Source organism: Homo sapiens, chromosome 8, assembly GCF_000001405.40.
Source record: "Homo sapiens chromosome 8, GRCh38.p14 Primary Assembly".
NCBI lineage: Eukaryota > Metazoa > Chordata > Mammalia > Primates > Hominidae > Homo > Homo sapiens.
In genome coordinates this window covers 9,884,338-9,903,975 of record NC_000008.11, presented here as the reverse complement: position 1 = coordinate 9,903,975, position 19,638 = coordinate 9,884,338, and the positions used below count along the sequence as shown (strand labels likewise).

Sequence of the window (19,638 nt, the reverse complement as noted above, 5' to 3'; positions counted from 1 at the left end):
CCCCTTCAGTTTCCTGGGCGAAGCAGAGGGCGACATGGGTGGGTGGGTTGCTGCGCTGGGGCGAGGTGGGGTCGATGTTGTTTTTTCATTGTCTGGAGCTGCAGGGGAGGCGAGGCGCGGGGAAAGGGGCGAGGGGAGCCGGGGTAATTAACACGGGGGAGGCACCCCTCCGTCTCCCACTTCCACCCACACCCCCATCCCTCCACCCCCTCCGCTTTGCAGGAAAAAGCCTGGATGCGAAAGGATGGGGGAGAACAAAGAGCCTTTGGAAGACGTCGCTGTTATCTCATTGTCTGTGTGATTGGGGGAGCTGCGGCGGGGAGGATGCTGTGGTCCCTTCCTCCGGCGTTCCCCACCCCCATCCCTCTCCCCGCTGTCAGTGCGCACGCACACGCGCCGCTTTTTATTTCTTTTTCCTGGTTTTCTTATTCCATCTTCTACCCACCCCTCTTCCTTTCTTTCACCTTTCCTTCCTTCCTTCCTCCTTTCCTTCCTCAGGAGAAAGGCCTCTCTCTCCGTGTTCACAGCGGACCTTGATTTAAATGTCCATACAATTAAGGCACGCGGTGAATGCCAAGAATGGGGCTGGCTGAGCACCGTGGGTCGGCGAGGGCCCGCCAAGGAAGGAGCGACCGACCGAGCCAGGCGCCCTCCGCAGACCTCCGCGCAGCGGCCGCGGGCGCGAGGGGAGGGGTCTGGAGCTCCCTCCGGCTGCCTGTCCCGCACCGGAGCCCGTGGGGTGGGGAGGTGTGCAGCCTGTGACAGACAGGGGCTTAGAGATGCAAACAGACTCAGGGAGAGAAACAGAAGCTGATTCTGTGACAGAAGCAGATCTGTGCAGCACAGATGCGGTGTGCGTGGGGAGGGGGTCGCCTGGGAGCGCATTGCGGAGTGCTTGTGTGTGCAGATTTTTCTCTGGGCTCAGGACTCATTGTATGTGGGTCAACACCTTCCTCCGTGACTGTGTTTTTGTTCTGAGCTGAGTTTTTTGGTTTGCCCTTAAAAAAATAATAATTTGGCATCCAGAGACTGGCAGACTGCCTCAGGGCCTGGACTGCGGATATATTGTGTTCTGCTTGAGGTTTGGGGAGGAGGGCAGGCGGTAGGAAGGGAGAGGGGGAGCTGTTTGTCACACTTTGCTGTAGAGCTGAGAGCACCTGACAAGCTTAAGGAAGTCGTTGGGCTATGTGGACAAGAAGGAGCCAGCTCCCAGCGGGTTCACAAGCTCTATCGGAGTTGAAAGCGTGGTCATGGCTCTAAGGAGCACCTCACGCCCTCCCTGTAGCTGTTATTGCAGTTTCAGGCAGAGATCCAGGAGCTGCAGAGGAAGGGAGAGGCACAATAACCTACATGGACCCAAGGGAGACATGTGTTCCTTTAAAAATGTGAACAGAAGGAAAAACAGAATGTGTGCAACTGGGGGTCTGAGGAAAGACTGTTTTGAAAGAGGCTGTCAGGGAATGGAAAGGGTTAAGCTTTTCATCCTGAAGAACCTGCTTCCCAAATCAGGCCTTCCTCCCATCACTAGACCCTGAGCAGCAGCTGGTCCTAGAGACCCCCCTCGTACTGCGCTGCCACAGTCTCATCCCATTTCCAGCTCTGTATTAACCACCAAGCTGCAGCGGATGGGGCAAGACCTAAGCTCATTAATTTCCAGGTGGAGGAAATGGAGGAGGGGCAGGTCCCTGCAGTAGAGGGAGGAGCAGAGAAAGGAGGCCAAGAGCTGGATCCTTCTGCCCAGGAAGCCTGCTGCATCCCTTCCCCCGAGCATGGCAGAGGCCTGGCTTTGCAAGGCCAAGGCCATAAGGGATGCTTAGGAGATTAATTTGATTCCTGACACAATAATCAAGCCCTAAGAGTCTCCACTGAAGCTTACTGAGGACTTCTTTCCTCTCCAAAGCCTCAGTCTAGCCTGCTAAATAAATTAGTATTCAGTGATGCCTTGGATCAGGGCCCCTCCCCGGCCTCAGTTTCCCCAAATATTTATTAAGTACCTACTGTGTGCAATCCTTGTGTAATTATTAACTCTTAGGCTCTTCATTTGCCCTCCTAAAGCAGTGTTTAGAGTCAGGCAGAGGTTAAGTGTGTTGCACCTCACCTAGATACTTCCAGAACCTTCTCTGGGTCTGCAGAATGTGGCACAACCTGCTTGCCCCCGCAGAGAGAAAGCTGCAGTGCACATCCTGCAGACTGCAGGTGCTGGGCTGCCTCTGGAGTCCCAGAAGGCAAGCTTGGCTGCAGGACAGAAAGGGAGAACAGCTTCTCTCACCCCTGAGCCTTCACAAGCCCTTGTCTATTTGCCGTTGCCTTCAAAATATACCTCCCCCGAAACCAGTAGCTTTCTGAGTCCTGGTGTCCCCTCCGCCCTTTCTGGACAGGTTTGGGAAGAAGAAAGCAGTCAGTGCTGGGCCTTATTGGGGTGTGAAGCGCCTTGCTCTGCCCCTTCTGCTCACTGTGAAGGCCGCTGGATGCTTCTCTTAGGCATGGTTTAAGCCTCCGATTACTAAACCCCTTGCCCCACAAACGTCCACATTGACGAGCCTCTTTTTAGTAACTGCTTCCCCGTAATTCCTTCAGAGGTTGCTGTACCCTTCGCTGATGTGCTGCCCTCCTGTAAAACCTCCAGATGCCTTCCCACGTAATGCCCCTTTCAGATGCTTTAAGCTGAGAGCTTAAACCACAGGTACCATGGCTGACGCCTGCCAGGTTTCTGCTGCAGATAATCTATGATGGGAGGGGCATATTTTTTACTTCATTACTTATGTAAACTCTTGTTCCAGAAAGCTTTAATGTGTGTGGGAGTGTTCTGGGTCTATTAGGTCTGTGCGCATGGGTGTGGGCATTTGCCTGTGTCCACCGGGTGGGTCTCATTATGAAATGTATGTTTATGTAGGGCTTTAATGGCTGAAAATGGCAAAGAGATGAATAGACCACTTGGCCCCATGTGTAATTGCCAGGCCCCTTCTGTGCTCAAATGAGGTGTCCGAGTGAAGGTCAGCCCTTCCCTTCTGTATTTGGGGCCTATTTATGCCACCAGTAATTTTATAAGAAATCTGAATAGTTCTCCCCTTTGAGTGCATTTAACTCTTTAGTATCTTCTCTCTTACCTATTTGAGCCCCTCTAGCTACAGTCTGGCTTAAATGAAAGGGGAATTATATGCTTAAGAAAAAGTAGGACACGGTTGAGGCAGTTTGCTGACTGAATACGCGAAGAAGGACCTGATGGGCTCATATGCACCACTGCCATCACAGTCCCCATCGTGATGCAAGCTTATATGATTCTTGAGGTAACTCTACCAGATACTTCCAGATTTAGAAATGTGTCAAAGGAAAAATTGGTGATACTCTTCTTTCCCCTGCCAGAAACAGCCCAGATCTCCTCTTAAGCGGAAAAGAGATTGACCTTCTAGCAGAGGCAAAGGTAAACTCCTGTAAGTTACTTCTGTTACCAAAGGGAGGGGGGCGGCTTTTGTGAATGTATGAGGAGCTTTTGCCAGAGAGATATTCGGAGGAGGGGTGTGCCCATATGCACACATATATTTTCCCGCATAACCGTATCCAATGCTAGCATTTAGAGGAAGGCATTTAGCCACCAAAAGTCCATCCATCTATGCTGCTTCCACAGAGAAAACATTTTCTCTTTCCTCCTCTTGAACTTACATAATATCCTCCTCCCATTCCAACCTTAGAATGGAGTCTTCTGGGGGCAGCTGCAAAGCGTTCTCCCTAGGACAGATGGAGCCTCCCTTTCCTCATCTACTCTGTGGGTGGTTTCAGGGCCCACGAGTCAACATGAGGAGTTGTGCTGGTGGTATGTGTGTTGGAGGCTGGGCTGGCTGATTCACAGTGACGAGGATGTCAATAATAACAAGAATGAGAATGATGGTACCTAATAAAGACTTTTTTTCCCAAGTCCCATCTACAATTCTTTCATTGGGTGTTTTGCCAAGTCTTTCTCAATCTCATCTCAGCTTTTTTTTTTTTTTTAAAGAAAATGTATTCAATACTTAATTGCATCACAAATGTAGACATAGAAGAAAGGACTTCAAACGGAATTTATGGGAGGCAATGTGTGCGGCTTTTTGCCTTATAGAGCTGTGTAGAAGGTCTGGAATGATCTTCCAGCACCAAATTTAGATGGCCTCAAAAAAAAAAAAAAAAAAAAAAAAATCAGGCCTTATTGAGGGCAAGGAATGTTCCAGGTCAGAAATAAAAGTGTCAGCAACTCTCAATAGGTTCATCTTTTTATTTCCTGTCCTTCTCCCTTTTGTCTTAAAATAGAAACGCTACCAAGACCTGAGGGCCTGGGTCAGGGGCCGGGAAGCCCAGAAAACAAACTTCCAGAATCACTAAGGGCTTTCTCTCTCAAAATTACAGTGGGAGGGTTCTTTTGAAATTCAAATCCAACCTATTTGTTGCTTAAGCACACACAAAATACTGAGACCTGGGGTCCAAGAGGCAATACTTCCGCTGCAAGTGCATGTTGCAACTTCGCGTGATGTTCCCAGGGCGGTTCTGCGGCAACTTGCGGCTCCGCGACTGTGGGCGCGGGCCCCATTTCGGGCCCCGTCGGCCGGGACCGCGCCCAGGGCTTCTCAAGTGACTCGCTTCCCAGCACGCAAGAGGCATTCTCGTCTCTTTCTCTTCGAATGCACCCGAGACTTCTCCATGAAGCAAGGAGAAGATGAGCAGGCGCTGGTTTCCCTTTTCTTTTTTGCTCCCATTTCCCAGTCTTGATTTTTTTTTTCCCTTTCTCTCTCTCTCCCGAATCATGCAGACCTGGAACTCCTAAGATTCGGGTCCTCCTGCAGTTCCCAAAGCTTTGGATCCATCCGAGGTGTGGGTAGATGCGGGTTAGTCTCAGGGTCTTTCTAGGATGAGCCCCAAGCCCAAGTTCTAAGGCGAGGGGGAGGCGAAGAGGTCAGGGCTACAAACGCCAGGGACTGTCCCCGGAGAGGTCATTTTTCCATTTTCCATGCACATCGATTTCACTCTAGCGCCAGATGGACACTCGACGGTCAACGTTAGAGATTTTTCCGGAGTCGGGGGCAGGAAGCGGGACGAATTGAGACGAGGGTACATCCTTTGCTTCCAAGGGTGGCCGAGCCAGACCGAAGGCCTGGGCGGGAGGTCACGTCCTCCCCTGGCCACCCACAGCGCTCCCCAGCCGCAGGCCTGGGCCTAGAAGCCGCGCCCTCCCGGCCGTGCAGCCGGTCAGCCTGTGCGCCCGGCGCCCGCAGTGCGGCTCCGGGCCTCTCTCTGATCCACTTCAGTACCTGCGGCCTCGAGGACCCCACCGTGCATCCCGGAAAGCCTCAGAACTTGCAAGAAAGAGGGGCTGGCAGGTGCAGCCTGGGAAGAGGACCCCGCCGCGAAAGCGCTTGGGGGTTGGGTTTTATTTGCTGGAGTGGGGGGTCCGTCTCAGTGCATCCTCCTGGATTCCCCATTAGGACGCCCCGCCCATACATCCAGCCTCCTCTCCCGGATACCCCCAGTGACCCGGCCAGGGAGCGGGCATCTTCCCCCAGGACCCAGAGACGTGTCCTCGCCATCCCCAAACACCGTCCTTCCCCACCCCCGCAACCCTCTCCACAGAAGCCAAAACCACAACAAAAATCTTCAACCCACAAAGAAAAAGACACATTCCTCCTTCGGCCTTAGTCAGCGTTAGTTCCAGATCCGAAGCCGGAGGGGACGGAGCCGCTCGAAGTCGGTTGGAAGGAAGGCGCAGAAGGCTCTTTCTGTCTCCATGAATCTCCTTGCAAATGCAACCGCTGCTGCCATTAGGACGCGGTCTCTGTTTGCAAAAAAAACTCAATTCCTTCCATTTCCTCATCTGTTGGGTCCATCAGCGTGCAGTGAGTGATGCAAGGTCCCTTTGGGTCAACAGGCCGTCCCCTGAAATAACTTTCAGAGCCCTGGCCTCAAGGTCATGGGCCGGGTGGCCTCTACAGGCCACAGGTCAGGACCAGGATGTGCCTGACTGAGGCTGTGCCACCGAGAGCTTCGGACGTGCAGAAAGGTGCCCTGAGCTGCACGGGGGGCTTCTGTCAGCCCCCTCCCACTCTACACAGATTGATGTGGCAATATTTATTCCCATTTAATTGAGACACTGGTTTAATTTCAGATTGCTTCGGCTTAAGGCCCAATGGGGTTTTCTGCAGCTCTTTTCCCCAGTGCCTCTACAGAAATTAATTGCTGTTAATATCCAATTTTGGCTTTATTATTCGTTAGCCAATTATGTATCCCATAGCCCAGGCCCCTTGCTGCTCTCAGCCTTTGCTGGAATCAGCTCACACTATGCCGGGCTTCTGCTTTTCTGCCTTCCCCTCTATTCAAACTCTGTCCTCCCAAGATGATTTACCGGCCCGTCAGGCATTTTGCTTGTGTCCCAGCGCTAGCTGAGCTGGCGGAGGTGTCTTTAAGACGTTTTCCCCCTTTTGAGGGAAATGTCTTCTTTGCAGTGGACATAATTTCCATTTAAAAAGGAATCTAAGCTTCTCCACTCTCGCTTCACTATCCTAAGATTTGCTTTCTCTGGAGCCATTTTTGGAGAGCAGTTTTCCATCAAAAGCAAGCAAGGTGCCCCGGCATCAGGGCTCCCCTCCCCACCTCCCTAGGAGCCCCTCCGAGACTGTCTTAAAGCCACCACATATACATAACACCATAGATTCAAACAGGGTGCTTGGAGGATGTCATTCCACATTTCAAGGAGGGAAACTTGAAAAAGCACTATTTTCAGAGATGAGGAGGGCAGCTCTCCCCTCGTCCCCCACAGAGGCCCTGGAAACCATTCCAGCCTTGCACTGCGCAACCCTGCTTGATGGAGCTGATGCAACTGGGGGCGAGAGCCTTTAAAAAGTGTTCTTTTGCCTTGGTTTTTTGTGCCTTGAGTTCACAGAAGCAAACACTTCCCATCACTGGTGCTCTGGAAACAGAAACATACAAGTGAGAATCCTAACGACAGCAGAGGCCCTTCTTTGTCTGCTTCCTCTCCTTCCCCCCTTGGAAAGAATGCCTCCCATGCCTTAATGTGCCCTCACACTTATCTCTAGCAGTTCCGTAACAACCTGCGCAGTGTCGGCATCAGAACCGAATGCAGAGAAAACAAAACGTCAGAGCCGCTGGCTTGGACTGCGGCCCCTACAGATGAAGCCCGAGGTGGGAGGTTTTCTTCTCCGCCTGGAAATCCTATGGTCAGATTTGTCGTAGGGGGGAGGTGGGTGGTGACTGTGGTGGAGGGCTGGGACATTGTTAAGAAGGTGCCTTACGCAGAAGGCTCAATAAATACCACCCAAATTGGATGTAATTAAATTAGCAGCAGCTGTCCTGCTTTTCCTGTTGAAAGCTACAATTAGGCATGAAGGCCTCCTGGGCAAAGGCTAGTTAGAGTGGCGTCCTAGGAAAGGAGGGGGCTAACAGTGTTTCTGGTTCATCTTCTATCCTCAGCCCCTGCCTAGCTTGTCCAGAGGCATGGAGTTTCTTTTCTTTTCTTTTCTTTTCTTTTTTTGTTTGCTCGTTTGTTTGTTTTTGAGATGGAGTCTGGCTCTGTTGCCCAGGCTGGAATGCAGTGGCATGATCTCGGCTCACTGCAACCTCGGTCTCCCAGTTTCAAGAGATTCTTCTGCCTCAGCCTCCCGAGGAGCTGGGATTACAGGCATGCATCACCATGCCTGTCTCATTTTTTGTATTTTCAATAGAGACAGGGTTTCACCATGTCGGCCACGTGAATTGGTAATATTCCAAAAATATTACCAAAGGACTGCCTATGGTCTTGAAATCCCGACCTCAGGTGACCCACTCGCCTTGGCCTCCCACAGTGCTGGAATTACGGGCAGGAGCCACCGCACCCAGCTGAGTTTTATTTTTAAAATAGTCCAAGCATAAAGACCCCACATACCGTGCCCAGTCCCAGACAGAATTTCTGGGAAAACAAGAGGGAAAAAAAAAAACAAAACTCTTTTTTAGAACCCTTCTATCGTCCTTCGAGAGCACTTTAACTTTCAAAGATCCTCATATTCAAATCTCTCTTGTCACCACTCCAATTCACATCTCAACCGAGGCCTTTCCCAGTGGGGTATGCCCTCTAAACAAGACTAACAACAACAACAACAACAACAACTATAATCAACTTCTATTTCCTTCTACTCTCCTTCCCCCAGCCCCTTGAAAATATCTATACTCTCAATGCTCAAGAGGTATTAGGATAAAGACAGTGAGGTTAAAGCATTTCATACTAACACGTGAGCCACTTGAACAAGTCTTCTAACTTCCCCAGAGATATTTAACATTTTAGAAGAGGTGGGCATGGTGGTTCATGACTGTAATCCCAGCATTTTGGGAGGCCAAGAAGGGAAGATCACTTGAGCCCAGGAGTTTGAGGCCAGCCTGTGCAATATGGCAAGACTCCATCGCTACAAAAAAAACAAAACAATTAACCGGGCGTGATGGGGCACAATCCCAGCTACAGTCCCAGCTACTCAGGAGGCTAAGTGTGGGAGGATCGCTGGAGCCCCAGAGGATGAGGCTGCAGTGAGCTGTGTTCGGGCCACTGTGCTCCAGCCAGGGAGACAATAGTGAGAAACTCTCAAAAAAAAAAAAAAAAAGAAAGAAAGAAGGAAAGAAGAAAGAAAGAAAGAAAGAAAGAAAGAAAGAAAGAAAGAAAGAAAGAAAGAAAAGAAAAGAAAGAAAGAAAGAAAGAAAGAAAGAAAGAAAGAAAGAAAAGAGGCACTTACCTACCAAGTCTAATTGTAGGAGTTTCTTATAAAGGCTCCCAAAAGCAGTAAGGAAGAATCACATCAGAGCCTCCACTTTCTGCTTGAGGATAACATCATTGTTCCTTTGTTCCAGACACATGGGTGCTCAACCTTTTAAACATAACACAACAGGAAAACACATGTAAAGAAGCCTAATGAATCCTCATGGCTTGCTCTGTCCTCTGCCTCCTCTATTAGTACCAACTGGTAGGAGCACCCCAAGCTTTTGGCAGGGACATCTGTGATGTCGATACCTGTGATGACAGGTAGATATCAGTCTAGGTCAAGGCTACTGCATCTTTGCAAATTTGAAGCCAGCCCTTTGCATAATCGTGAATTCTGATTTTGCTATTTCCAAGAGTTGTTTTTTTTTTTTTTTTTTTTTTTTTTTAGACAGAGTCTCACTCTGTCACCCAGGCTGGAATGATGTAGTGGTGCAATCTCGGCTCACTGCAAGCTCCGCCTCCCATGTTCAAGTAATTCTCCTGCCTCAGCCTCCAGAGTAGCTGGGATTACAGGCGTGCACCACCATGCCCAGCTAATTTTTGTATTTTCTAGTAGAGATGGGGTTTTGCCACATTGGCCAGGCTGGTCTCGAACTCCTGACCTCAAGTGATCCACCTGCCTCGGCCTCCCAAAGTGCTGCGATTACAGACATAAGCCACCGTGCTCGGCTTCCATGAATTATATTTAAGGAATTATTTGATTAAATACCAGACTATGTGACACAGTAAGCCCACTTCAACCTGCTAACCCAAGGTAGATGCAAAGTGGCTCCAGGCAAAGCTGGAACTTGGGACTGGACACTTCCCTGGGTTGGTTTTGGTCACTCTCCCATCCTCAGCCAGCTCCTTCCCTTGCTTAACCGGAACTCTCTCATGTCCTTGCAGCCCCGGCTCTCCAAGCACCCTGTCCCATGTCCCATTCTCAGTGCATCTGAGCTTCCCGCAAATGGCAAAGCCAGCACCCAGGAGCAAGTTCTCGTGGGGCAAGAAGCAGATGTGTTAGGACTTTCAGGGAGAGTGAGAGCCTTCCCAGCCTCCAGCCAGCCTCTTAGAAAACTTTGCCTTTGGAAATGTCAATTATCTCTCCCTTCTTTCCAGCCTTCTACTCCTACCTCAGCATCTTGCCGCCTTCATGTGGACAATTAATCAACAGCAACAGCATAGTGTGAAGGTTGGTAGCCTCGCTTATTTTTTTTTTTTTTTAGATGGAGTCTCGCTCTGTCACCCAGGCTAGAGTGCAGCAGCATGATCTTGGCTCACTGCGACTTCTGCCTCCCAGGTTCAAGGAATTCTCCTGCCTCAGCCTCCTGAGTAGCTGCGATTATAGGCGTGCGCCACCATGCTTGGCTAATTTTTGTATTTTTAGTACAGATGGTGTTTCACCCTGTTGGCCAGGCTGGTCTCAAACCGCTGACCTCAGGTGATCTGCCCCACTCAGCCTTCCAAAGTGCTGGGATTACAGGCATGAGCCACTGTGCCTGGACTGGACTGCTTTTCTATTGTACTAAACCTGTCCTATCTGATTCCCGAATCACTCATCACACTATTGACCAAAACCTATCCAAGACAGCATGTGGGAGCAGCTAGGAAAATTATTTAATGTGATCCCAGGGCCTCTCAGAAGCCCAGACAGACTTGGTACCTTCCTTTTTTTTTCTTTTTGAGGCTTCCAGTACATTCAGAAATGCCAAATCAGAGCTATAAAAATTACTGTATGTATAGCATCTTCCAAAAATATTACCAAAAGGAATGCCTATGAGAGCCTTTGAGACTGTAACACTCTGTGTGATTCCGTGAAAAGCCCCTGGATGTTAAGGCCTCAGCCCCCAGAGAAAGCGAAGCCCGCTATGACCGCCAGCCTGGTTATCACATTACGTCTGCTTGGTCCCCGGCGCTACCACCAGGCTGTGTAACTGTGCGTAGGTTGTTAAACCTCTCTGAGCATCCTCTGTAAGAAGGTGATATAATGATGCTATCTACTTCAAAGGGTTATTGTCAGGAGGAAATGAGATAATGCATGTGAAAATATTCAGCATATCACGGAGCGCTGTTCAATAGAAATAAAACACAAGCCATATGTGGTGTTTAAAATTTTCTAGTAGCCACACATTTAAAAATAAAAAAGAAACATATGACATTAATTTTAATCATATATTTTATTTAACCCAATACATATAATCAAAAATGGCATGATGGTGCACATCTGTGGTCCCAGCAGCTCAGGAGGCTGAGGGGGAAGGATCACTTGAGCCCAGGAGTTTGAGGCTGCAGTGAGCCATGATCACACCATTGCACTCCAGCCTGGGTGACAGAGCAAGACCCCATCTCAAAAAATAATACATATTAATGAGAAGTTTAACATTCTTTTATTCATACTAAATCTTCAAAATCTGATGTGTGTTTTATACTCCCAATGCATCTCAATTCAGATGCTAAATTTTCATCAGAAATACTTGTTTCTTATTTAGATTTCATAAGATTTATATAATAGTTGAAAAAGTACATTCACATACCCATGTTAGTTCCAACCATTCTTAAATATTTTCTAATAACTGAATAGAGTATCTGTTTTCAAATTTAAATTTAAATTTAAATTTAACAATTAAATTAAATTTTAATTAATTTAAATTAAAATTTAATTTAAATTAAAAATTCAGCTCTTCAGTTGCACTGAGCATATATATGCTATGTATATATTATATATATATTTTATATATATTTATATATAATATATTATAAAATATATTATATATTATATATATTTTATATATATATATATTTTTTTTTTTGAGCCAGAGCCTCACTCTGTCATCCAGGCTAAAGTGCAGTGGCGTGATCTTGGCTCACTGCAACCTCCATCTCCTGGGTTCAAGCGATTGTCCTGCCTCAGCCTCCCAAGTAGCTGGAATTACAGGCATGTGCCACCACGGTCAGCTAATTTTTGTATTTTTAGTAGAAATGGGGTTTCGCCATATTGGTCAGGCTGGTCTCGAACTCCTGACCTCAGGTGATTCACCCACCTCGGCCTCCCAGAATGCTGGGATTACAGGCGTGAGCCACCACCGCCAGCCCTGAGCATATTTCAAGTACTTAATAGCCACATGGTTAGTATCTACCACACAGTGCAGGTGGAGCATACTATTTGGCACATGGTAAGTGCTCAGTAAATACTCACTGCCATTACCCTTAGGCCCAAGGAGCAGCTCCTTCTCTTTTTTCAGATGCCAAATCTGAAGCCAGGCCTGTCATTTGTTCTGTGCATGGCCTGTGTAATGGATGAGTCCAGGCTCCGCATGTTCAGGGCCTCTTTGGAATATGTCTTAGTCCTTTCTGGGTGCTGTAACAAAAGACCACAAACTGGGTGGCTTATAAACAACAGAGGGCTAGGCATGGTGCCTCATACTTGTAATCCCAGGACTTTGGGAGGCTGATGTGGGAGGATCACTTTATCCCAGGAGTCTGAGACAAGCCTGGGCAACATGGAGAGACCCCATCTCTACAAAAAAATAAAAATTAAAAAATAAGCCCGGTGCGGTGGTGCATGCCTGTGATCCTGGTTACTCAGGAGGCTGAGGCAGAAGGACTGCTTAAGCCCAGGAGGTCGAGGCTGCAGTGAGCCGTGATTATGCCACTGCACTTTAGCCTGGGCAACAGAGTGAAACCTTGTCTCAAAAATAAAATAAAATAACAGAAATAAATTTCTCACAATTCTGGAAGCTGGGAAGTCCAAGATGAAGGCACTGGCAGATTTGGGGTCTGATAGGGTCCACTCCCTTGTTCATAGATGGCGCCTTCTCACTGACCTCACATGGCAGAAGGGGCAAAAGAGCTCTCTTGGGCCTATTATAAGGGGACTAGTTCTATTCATGAGGGTTCCACTTTCACAACTTCATTGCCCCTCAAAAGCCTCCACCTCCTAACACCATCACCGCAAGGGGTCAGGATTTCAACATATGAATGGCGGGGGGACACAAACATTCAGACCATAGCAGGGAACAATTTTATTTATGTTTTGAGATAGGGTCTCATTCTGTTGCTCAGGCTGGAGTACAGTGGCACAATCACAGTTCACGGCAGCCTCATACTCCTGGGCTCAAGGGATCCTCCCGCCTCAGCCTCCTGAGTAGCTGGGACTACAGACATGCACCATCACCCCTGGCTAATTTTGTAAATTTTTTTTGTAGACAGGGGATATTACCATCTTGCCCAGGCTGGTCGCAAACCCCTGCACTCACATGATCCTCCTACCTTGGCCCCTCAAAGTGCTGGGATTACAGACATGAGCCACCGCACCCATCCAGGGTAAAATTTCACAGTCCCTGAAGGGGCCATTTTCCAGGAACATCTTCCTGACCTTTCCCACTGGGATTCTAGGAAGGCTTTCGGGCTCTCCAGGATTGTCTTGCCATGCATGTGTGTGTAAGGAGCAGGGATAACAAGCCTTTGTGGAGGGTTATTCTTTGAAACAATAACCCAGTACATCTGTGCAGCAGAAATAACAAGACTAGCATGGTCACACTAGTGACTGATAGCTGTTCCTATTCACAAGCCAAATGAGGAGAAAATAGACATGGGTGTGGTACATGTTCCTAAATTTAATTCTGTGCTAATTTCTCATTCCATTAATAACCAGGGTTCTCATCCTCCCCTATAGTCATGTTTTTCAACTACTCTTTATTGAAATTGTGCTGCCTGTCAATCACCAATGTTAGCTAGGTGGAATTTGTGGATGAATAAGGCTCACGCCCTTCCTGCCCTCAGCAAGCACACAGTCCAGTAGATAAGACAAATACATTAGCAATTATGACAAAGCAAATATGAGCAGTCCCATACAAGACAGACAGTCAAAATGCCAGGAGAGTTCAAATGAAAGAGCCATGTTTTCCAATGAGAGGGCTGGGGAAACCTCAAGAGGCAGGTGGGATCTGGGGTGGAGGGAACACCCTAAGTGGCAAGATTAGCATCCACTCCATCCCAGATGTGAGGAAGTTTTGCAGAATTAAGCATAGGTACAATGACAATATAGGAGAAGGAAAGTTTGGGGCTAGATTGCAGGTGGAAATTGCTGGGTCATATGGCAATTCTGTTTTGCTTTGTTTTATTTTGTTTTGTTTTTGAGACAGAGTCTCACTCTGTCACCCAGGCTGGAGTGCAGTGGCGCAATCTTGACTCACTGCAACCTCTGCCTCCCGGGTTCAAGTGATTCTCCCGCTTCAGCCTCCTGAGTGGCTGAGATTACAGACGCCCACCACAACGCTCAGCTAATTTTTGTATTTTTAGTAGAAATGGGGTTTCACCATGTCAGCCAGGCTGGTCTCGAACTTCTGACCTCAAGTGATCCACTAGCCTCCGCCTCCCAAAGTGCTGGGATTACAGGTGTGAGCCACCGTGCCTGGTAATTCTATTTTTAATTTTTTGAAGACCCACCATACTACATCATTCCATATACCCACCAACACTGTACAAGGGTTCCAGTTTCTCCACATCCTTGCCAATCTTTGTTATGGTGTGTGTGGGGTGTGTGTGTGTGTGTGTGTGTGTTTATAGTAGCCATCCTTAAAGGGTGTGTGGTGGTATGTCATTGTGGTTTTGATTTTCACTTCCCTAGTGATTAGTGATGTTGAGCATCTATTCATGTGCTTCTTGACCATTTGTTTACCTTCTTTGAAAAAATGTCCAAGTCCTTTCTTTGCCCTGTCTTAATTGGGGTGTTGGTTTGGGTTTTTTGTTGTTGTTGATGCTATTGTCATGACAATCATTACTTTGGCAAATTCCAAGGCAGTTTTCTTGTTTGTTTTTGTTTTTTTGTTTTGTTTTGTTTTGAGACAAGGTCTCTCTCTGTCACCCAGGCTGGAGTGCAGTGGCAAAATAATGGCTCACTGCAGCCTTGACCTCCGGGGCTCAAATGATCCTCTCACCTCACCCTCTGAGGTAGCTGGGACTACAGGGGCATGCCACCATGCCTGACTAATTTTATTTTACTTTTCATTTTTAGTAGAGATAGAGTCTTGATATGTTCCCCAGGCTGCTCTGGAATTCTTGGACTCAAGCAATCCTCCTGACTTGGCCTCCCAAAGTGCTGGGATTACAGGTAAGAGCCACCATGCCCAGACTCCAGTGCAGTTTTGACAAATGAGGTGGAGTCAGCAGCCCATTACCCACTGAATAAAGCCTAACTCTCCTAAGTCCTGCATTGGGTGGTGCCCTGCTCACCTGCATGCCCAGTGATTGTCCTGTGCCTCCCCACCACCTGGTTTATTTGCTTAAATCCTCAAAACTCCCTCCTTGGTTGGGTTGCTGAAACCCTTCCTACACCTTTCCTGCCTCCGATTCCTGAGAGCTACATTTAACCTCCACAGGCTCCTATTCCAAATCGGATGAAGCACTGAAAACAAAGCACTTTCACATCCTTCACCCTGATCTGTAGCATATTCTTCAGAACTCTTATGATTTCAAGTGACAGAAACCCAATCTGAACCAGCTGAAACACTCAGAGGCATTTAGTATCTCATGGAACCCAGTGCCCCAGGGACAGGCGGAAACGCTGACTTGAACATCTCTTTCTGAGTTTCTCATCTCAGCGCCTCTCTGCAGATGTTGAAATCTTCTTTTTTTCTGCTAACTGGCCTCTGCTTCCCAGGTTCACAGCAAGAAACATGGCCATTGGGATGTCCCAAGCTTTGCATTTTATAGCCCAGCTTAGGTCAGGTGGCCACCCCTGTGCCAGTCAACTTGACCGAATGGATGGAAAACCTCAACTGATCAAGCTGGAGTTAAGTGCATGCAGGGAGCACCTATGGTAACTGCGGATGGCAGGGAGGGCAGCCACCTAGAAAAAGGTACTGCTGGCCAGGTAAGACCACAGGTATCCACAACTACCACCAATCTGCTGTGAACAGTTCCTCTGAAGTTGTGCAATAAGCAAGCCGTGTGATGCTGGTCTTGGTAGAATATCTTATTTCTAAACTCCAAACCATCAGATTGGCCTCTACCTCCCCATTTGCCCTCCTCAGAAGATCTTGACACCCAAGTTCACCCCATCCTCTGGAGTCCTGTGGTTTGAAATACTGACCATTTGTCCCAATCCTGGAGCCAAGGTCCCAGCATGCTCTGTGTCCAAGTTCAGATTACCACAAAAGCTGGTTGTGAAGACCACAAGTTGTTACCTATTTGTTTTTTAACCAGTTGTATATACAACATTTGGTGCTTTTCACAACACCACACTACCTCTGTCTTACTGTACTGTTTCTCTCCCTAGCAAGCTACCAACATTTCCTCTCTCCTCCCTAAAACATGAAAAAAGGAGAGAGAGAGAGAGAGAGAGACGCAGGTAATGCCTATACTCTCATCTCCTAAGGGGTCCTTGAGACAATGGATTCCAAAGAGCAGTTTGGAACATGAAGAAAACCCCAATGGGGAGGCCCTGCTCCCAAGTCTCACTAATTCTGGATTTAATTCTCCCCTGTGGGCCAGGTGGTGAATTAGTGGCCCTCCCACCCTACCTTCTGTTTTCTATGATCTCGTCTCATCTAATAAAGGCTCCAGATCTGAAAGTCTCTGAGACCAGAACCTTAGTCCAATTAAACCCTGCTAAAGCAAACAAACTTGGGAAAGACAAAGAGGTGAAGAGGTTAACAGCAGACAAAACCTCCACTGACAAGCTAAATTAGCCTTGCCCACCTCAGGAGAAGGTGTAAGGTGGACAGCGGAGACTGCTGGTAGTGATTAACATTTGCTCGAAATTCTAAGGAGCTAATTTTTTTTCCAAGTTAAATGTTAACCTGTGAAAAGAGGAACAGTAACTATGCGAAGAGGAATGTGAAGAAGAAAACAGAAAGACCAGCCTGCTGGGTGGATGTCTTCCTCCCAAAGTAGTCGAGACCAGGGATTCTGAGGAATAGTTTTCCATTTATCCTTCATCATCTCCATTCAACAGGGCCGCTGAGCTCCAGATGAGCATGGAAAGATGGAGGAGCTGCCAAACCTGACTTTGGAGGCCCTGGTCAGGAGCCCGTTGGAGGCCTTCCAGTTTTACACCCTTTGTGAATTTGTCCGTGGGGTGGGTTTGTTCTGATGCCATGAGTAGCTTCCACTGGAAAAGGCACCATCTCCACCCAACATTTTAGGTATGCTGGTGCATTGGGAGGACATTCTTGGTGCCAATAATCGTCTGAAGATTCTTTGCTATCCTTTGGTAGAGGCTCTATTTACCACAATGAAGAGTAGAAAGATTATGATGTGAGTGTGTTTTGGTGTGTGTGTGTGTGTGTGTGTATGTGTGTGACTATTAGTGAAAACTGCTAGTAGTATGTCAGTGTGGAGAGAAATTCAGTCCTCCCGCAAGTGGTGAGGCTCAATATTAAGGGACAGAACATCAGTGAGCACCACATTAAGGCACTATTCTCGACATCTGGGAAGAAGCAAAGAAAAATGTGTCATGCCTCTTACCTTTTAGGGACTTATAATACAGGAAAGAGAAGACTTGTATAAATGGCTAAAAATATACTGAGGAGTATAACTAATAACTAATGCAGAGTGTGCTGGTAAAAGGTTGTGTGGGTTCAGGAATGTCAAAAGTTGCAGCTGCTGTGAAAGCCAATATGGCGGGTCCTCAAAAAATTAAATGTAGAATTACCATATGACTCGGCAACTCCACTTCCGGGTATGTTCTTAAAACGATTGAAAGCAGAGACTCAGACAGATAATTGCACACCCATGTTCACAGCAGCATTATTCACAATCGCCAAAATGTGGAAGCAACCCAAGTGTCCACTGGCCAATGAATGAATGAGTAAAACATGCTATGTATCAACAGTAGAATATTATTCAACCTTAAAAGGAAACAAATTCTGGTACGTGTTACAACATAGATGAACCTTGAGTGGAAGAAGAAAACAGAAAGAGCAGTCCGCTGGGTGGATGTCTTCTTCCCAAAGTAGTTGGGATCAGGAATGCTGAGAAACAATTCCCCATTCATCCTTCAACATCTCCATTCAACAGGGCCACTGAGCTCCAGGATGAGCATGGAAGGATGGAGGAGCTGCCAAGCTTGACCTTGGGGACCCAGGTCAGGAGCCTTCTGGAGACCTTCCAGTTTTATGCCCTTCGTGAATTTGTTTGTGGGATGAACTCTATGAAGTGAACTAAACCAATCACACACAAAAAATAAAACTGTATGATTCCACTTATATGAGGCACCTAGTCAAATTCAGAGACAGAAATAAAAATGGGGGTTGATAGGAGAGGGGAGGATGGAAGAGTGGGAAGTTACTGTCAATGGGAACAGAGTTTCAGTTTTGCAAAAGAGTTCTGGAAATGAATGGGGTAATGACTGCACAACACTGTGAAGGTACTTAATGCCCCTGAACCACATACTTAAAAAATGATTAAGATGGTAAATTTTATGTAAGTGTATTTTACCACATTTTTTTTTTCAAATTCATGTAGTTTCAGATGAGACTTTATAGAAAAGGTGGCACCGAGCTGCCTGAAAGAATAGATGAATTTCAGTATATAAAGAAGAGGAAGAAGGACATTAGAGACCAGGGGAAGGACATGAAAGGATCAAAGGCAGTGAAGTATCCATGGGTACGCACAGTGAGTGGTTTAAGTTTCCTGGAACAAAGGGTTCCAGAAGGAAAACAAGGTCAGCCAGCCATTGAAATCCAGACAATGGCGAGCCTTGAAGGCTAGACTAGGGAGTTTGGATTTTATTCTCTAAGTCAGCGCATCCACCGTTTCCATAGTGTTCCACAGGACACTAATTCTATGAGATGCTCTGAAAAAAGCAGAGGAAGGGAGCCATGGACAAACAGGTTTGAGAAAGGCTGCATAGCCCTATGGCCAATTTGCCGTGCACGCTAGCTTACATTGGTAAATCCTGGCGTAAAGATATCTGCCTCATTTTGCTACAGTCAGTGTTGCCCAAACTTGTTGGATTATGCTGCCCTGGGATTCTCGTGACACCTATTAACATCCTTCAAAAGCATTCCACATGTTTAGAGAAACGTCTCCCTAGGAAAGGCAGCTATTGGAGCTTTTTAGCAGAGGCATTTACATGGTCAGAGTGCTGCTTTAGGAAGGCTAATCAGATGGCAGATTGCTGCTTGGATTGAGGGGGACAGAGACAAATGACTAGAACTGTGGATATGTCATTAAGGACTGGCGCATGTCAGATTTCTAGTGTCCGAAACACCGAAGAGATATTTCAAGCACCGAGAAGACACCCTGTTACTGAGATCAAATGCTGGCAATCAGCCGACTCCTCCGCCTTCCCCAGATTTTGACTCATCCTACCCTGAAGCACATAGGATCCACCATGGGTTCACGCCCCTCCGTGTCTCTCAGCCCCCAGAGGCACATGAAGTGGTGCGTTGGAGTGACTGGTGCCAGCTCATGGAAGCCGCTACCTGGGAGTTTCCCAAGAACCATTAGTAGAAGCCTGCCATGGTGGGGCCACCTATACCGTGGAAATCAGCCAATGCTACAAATGAGAGCTTTTGTTTGGGGGGGATCCATTTACCAGCACACAACTGACCAGGTGCCAAGTCGGGATTAAATGTGTAAAGGTTATATTAGAGAAAGCACTTGTGTGAGGAAAAAAAAAATGGGAAGGGAGGTAAGATAGGCTGCGATGGCGTGTCCGACAGCAAACCAGGGAAGGGAAGAGAGAGGAGAGAGGGAAAGGAGGTGGCGTGGACGTGTCCCAGACTGCATGCCCTCTAAGGAAGGGTCAGCGAGTCCTCCAGCCAAAGTCAGCTATCCGTGGATGTCTTCCAGGAACCGGCGTTAGATCCTTGCAGCAGTCAGCCACTCACAGGGAGCTGCCCGCGGGGAGGGCAGCCCAGGGCACACAGCCATGGATGTCTGCGCGCAGC

General features: G+C 47.6%; 2 long non-coding RNA genes and 1 other non-coding gene across 3 annotated transcripts, besides 2 other annotated features; all 3 read left to right on the top strand.

Moving 5' to 3' along the window:
* The first annotated feature begins 503 nt into the window (after positions 1–503).
* Positions 504–588, top strand: MIR124-1 (microRNA 124-1). Its single transcript, NR_029668.1, has one exon. It is a non-coding gene; the product is annotated as a microRNA 124-1 (primary transcript).
* A 58-nt stretch (positions 589–646) lies between these two features.
* MIR124-1HG (MIR124-1 host gene) lies at positions 647–3,912 on the top strand. The gene is given in 3 exon segments (NR_024281.1): positions 647–3,287; positions 3,364–3,421; positions 3,690–3,912. It is a non-coding gene; the product is annotated as an MIR124-1 host gene (long non-coding RNA).
* Positions 5,797–6,678: an enhancer, noted in NCBI's record as "H3K27ac-H3K4me1 hESC enhancer chr8:9754808-9755689 (GRCh37/hg19 assembly coordinates)". NCBI's record gives its function as "activates a minimal SCP1, AML or CMV promoter by ChIP-STARR-seq in naive H9 embryonic stem cells {active_cell/tissue: H9 hESC(naive)}" and the evidence as "EXISTENCE:reporter gene assay evidence [ECO:0000049][PMID:30033119]".
* Positions 6,679–7,561: an enhancer, noted in NCBI's record as "H3K27ac-H3K4me1 hESC enhancer chr8:9753925-9754807 (GRCh37/hg19 assembly coordinates)". NCBI's record gives its function as "activates a minimal SCP1, AML or CMV promoter by ChIP-STARR-seq in naive H9 embryonic stem cells {active_cell/tissue: H9 hESC(naive)}" and the evidence as "EXISTENCE:reporter gene assay evidence [ECO:0000049][PMID:30033119]".
* Positions 11,769–17,949, top strand: LOC124902056 (uncharacterized). The gene is made up of 2 exons (XR_007061165.1): positions 11,769–14,852; positions 15,121–17,949. It is a non-coding gene; the product is annotated as an uncharacterized LOC124902056 (long non-coding RNA).
* The last annotated feature ends 1,689 nt before the right edge of the window (positions 17,950–19,638 follow it).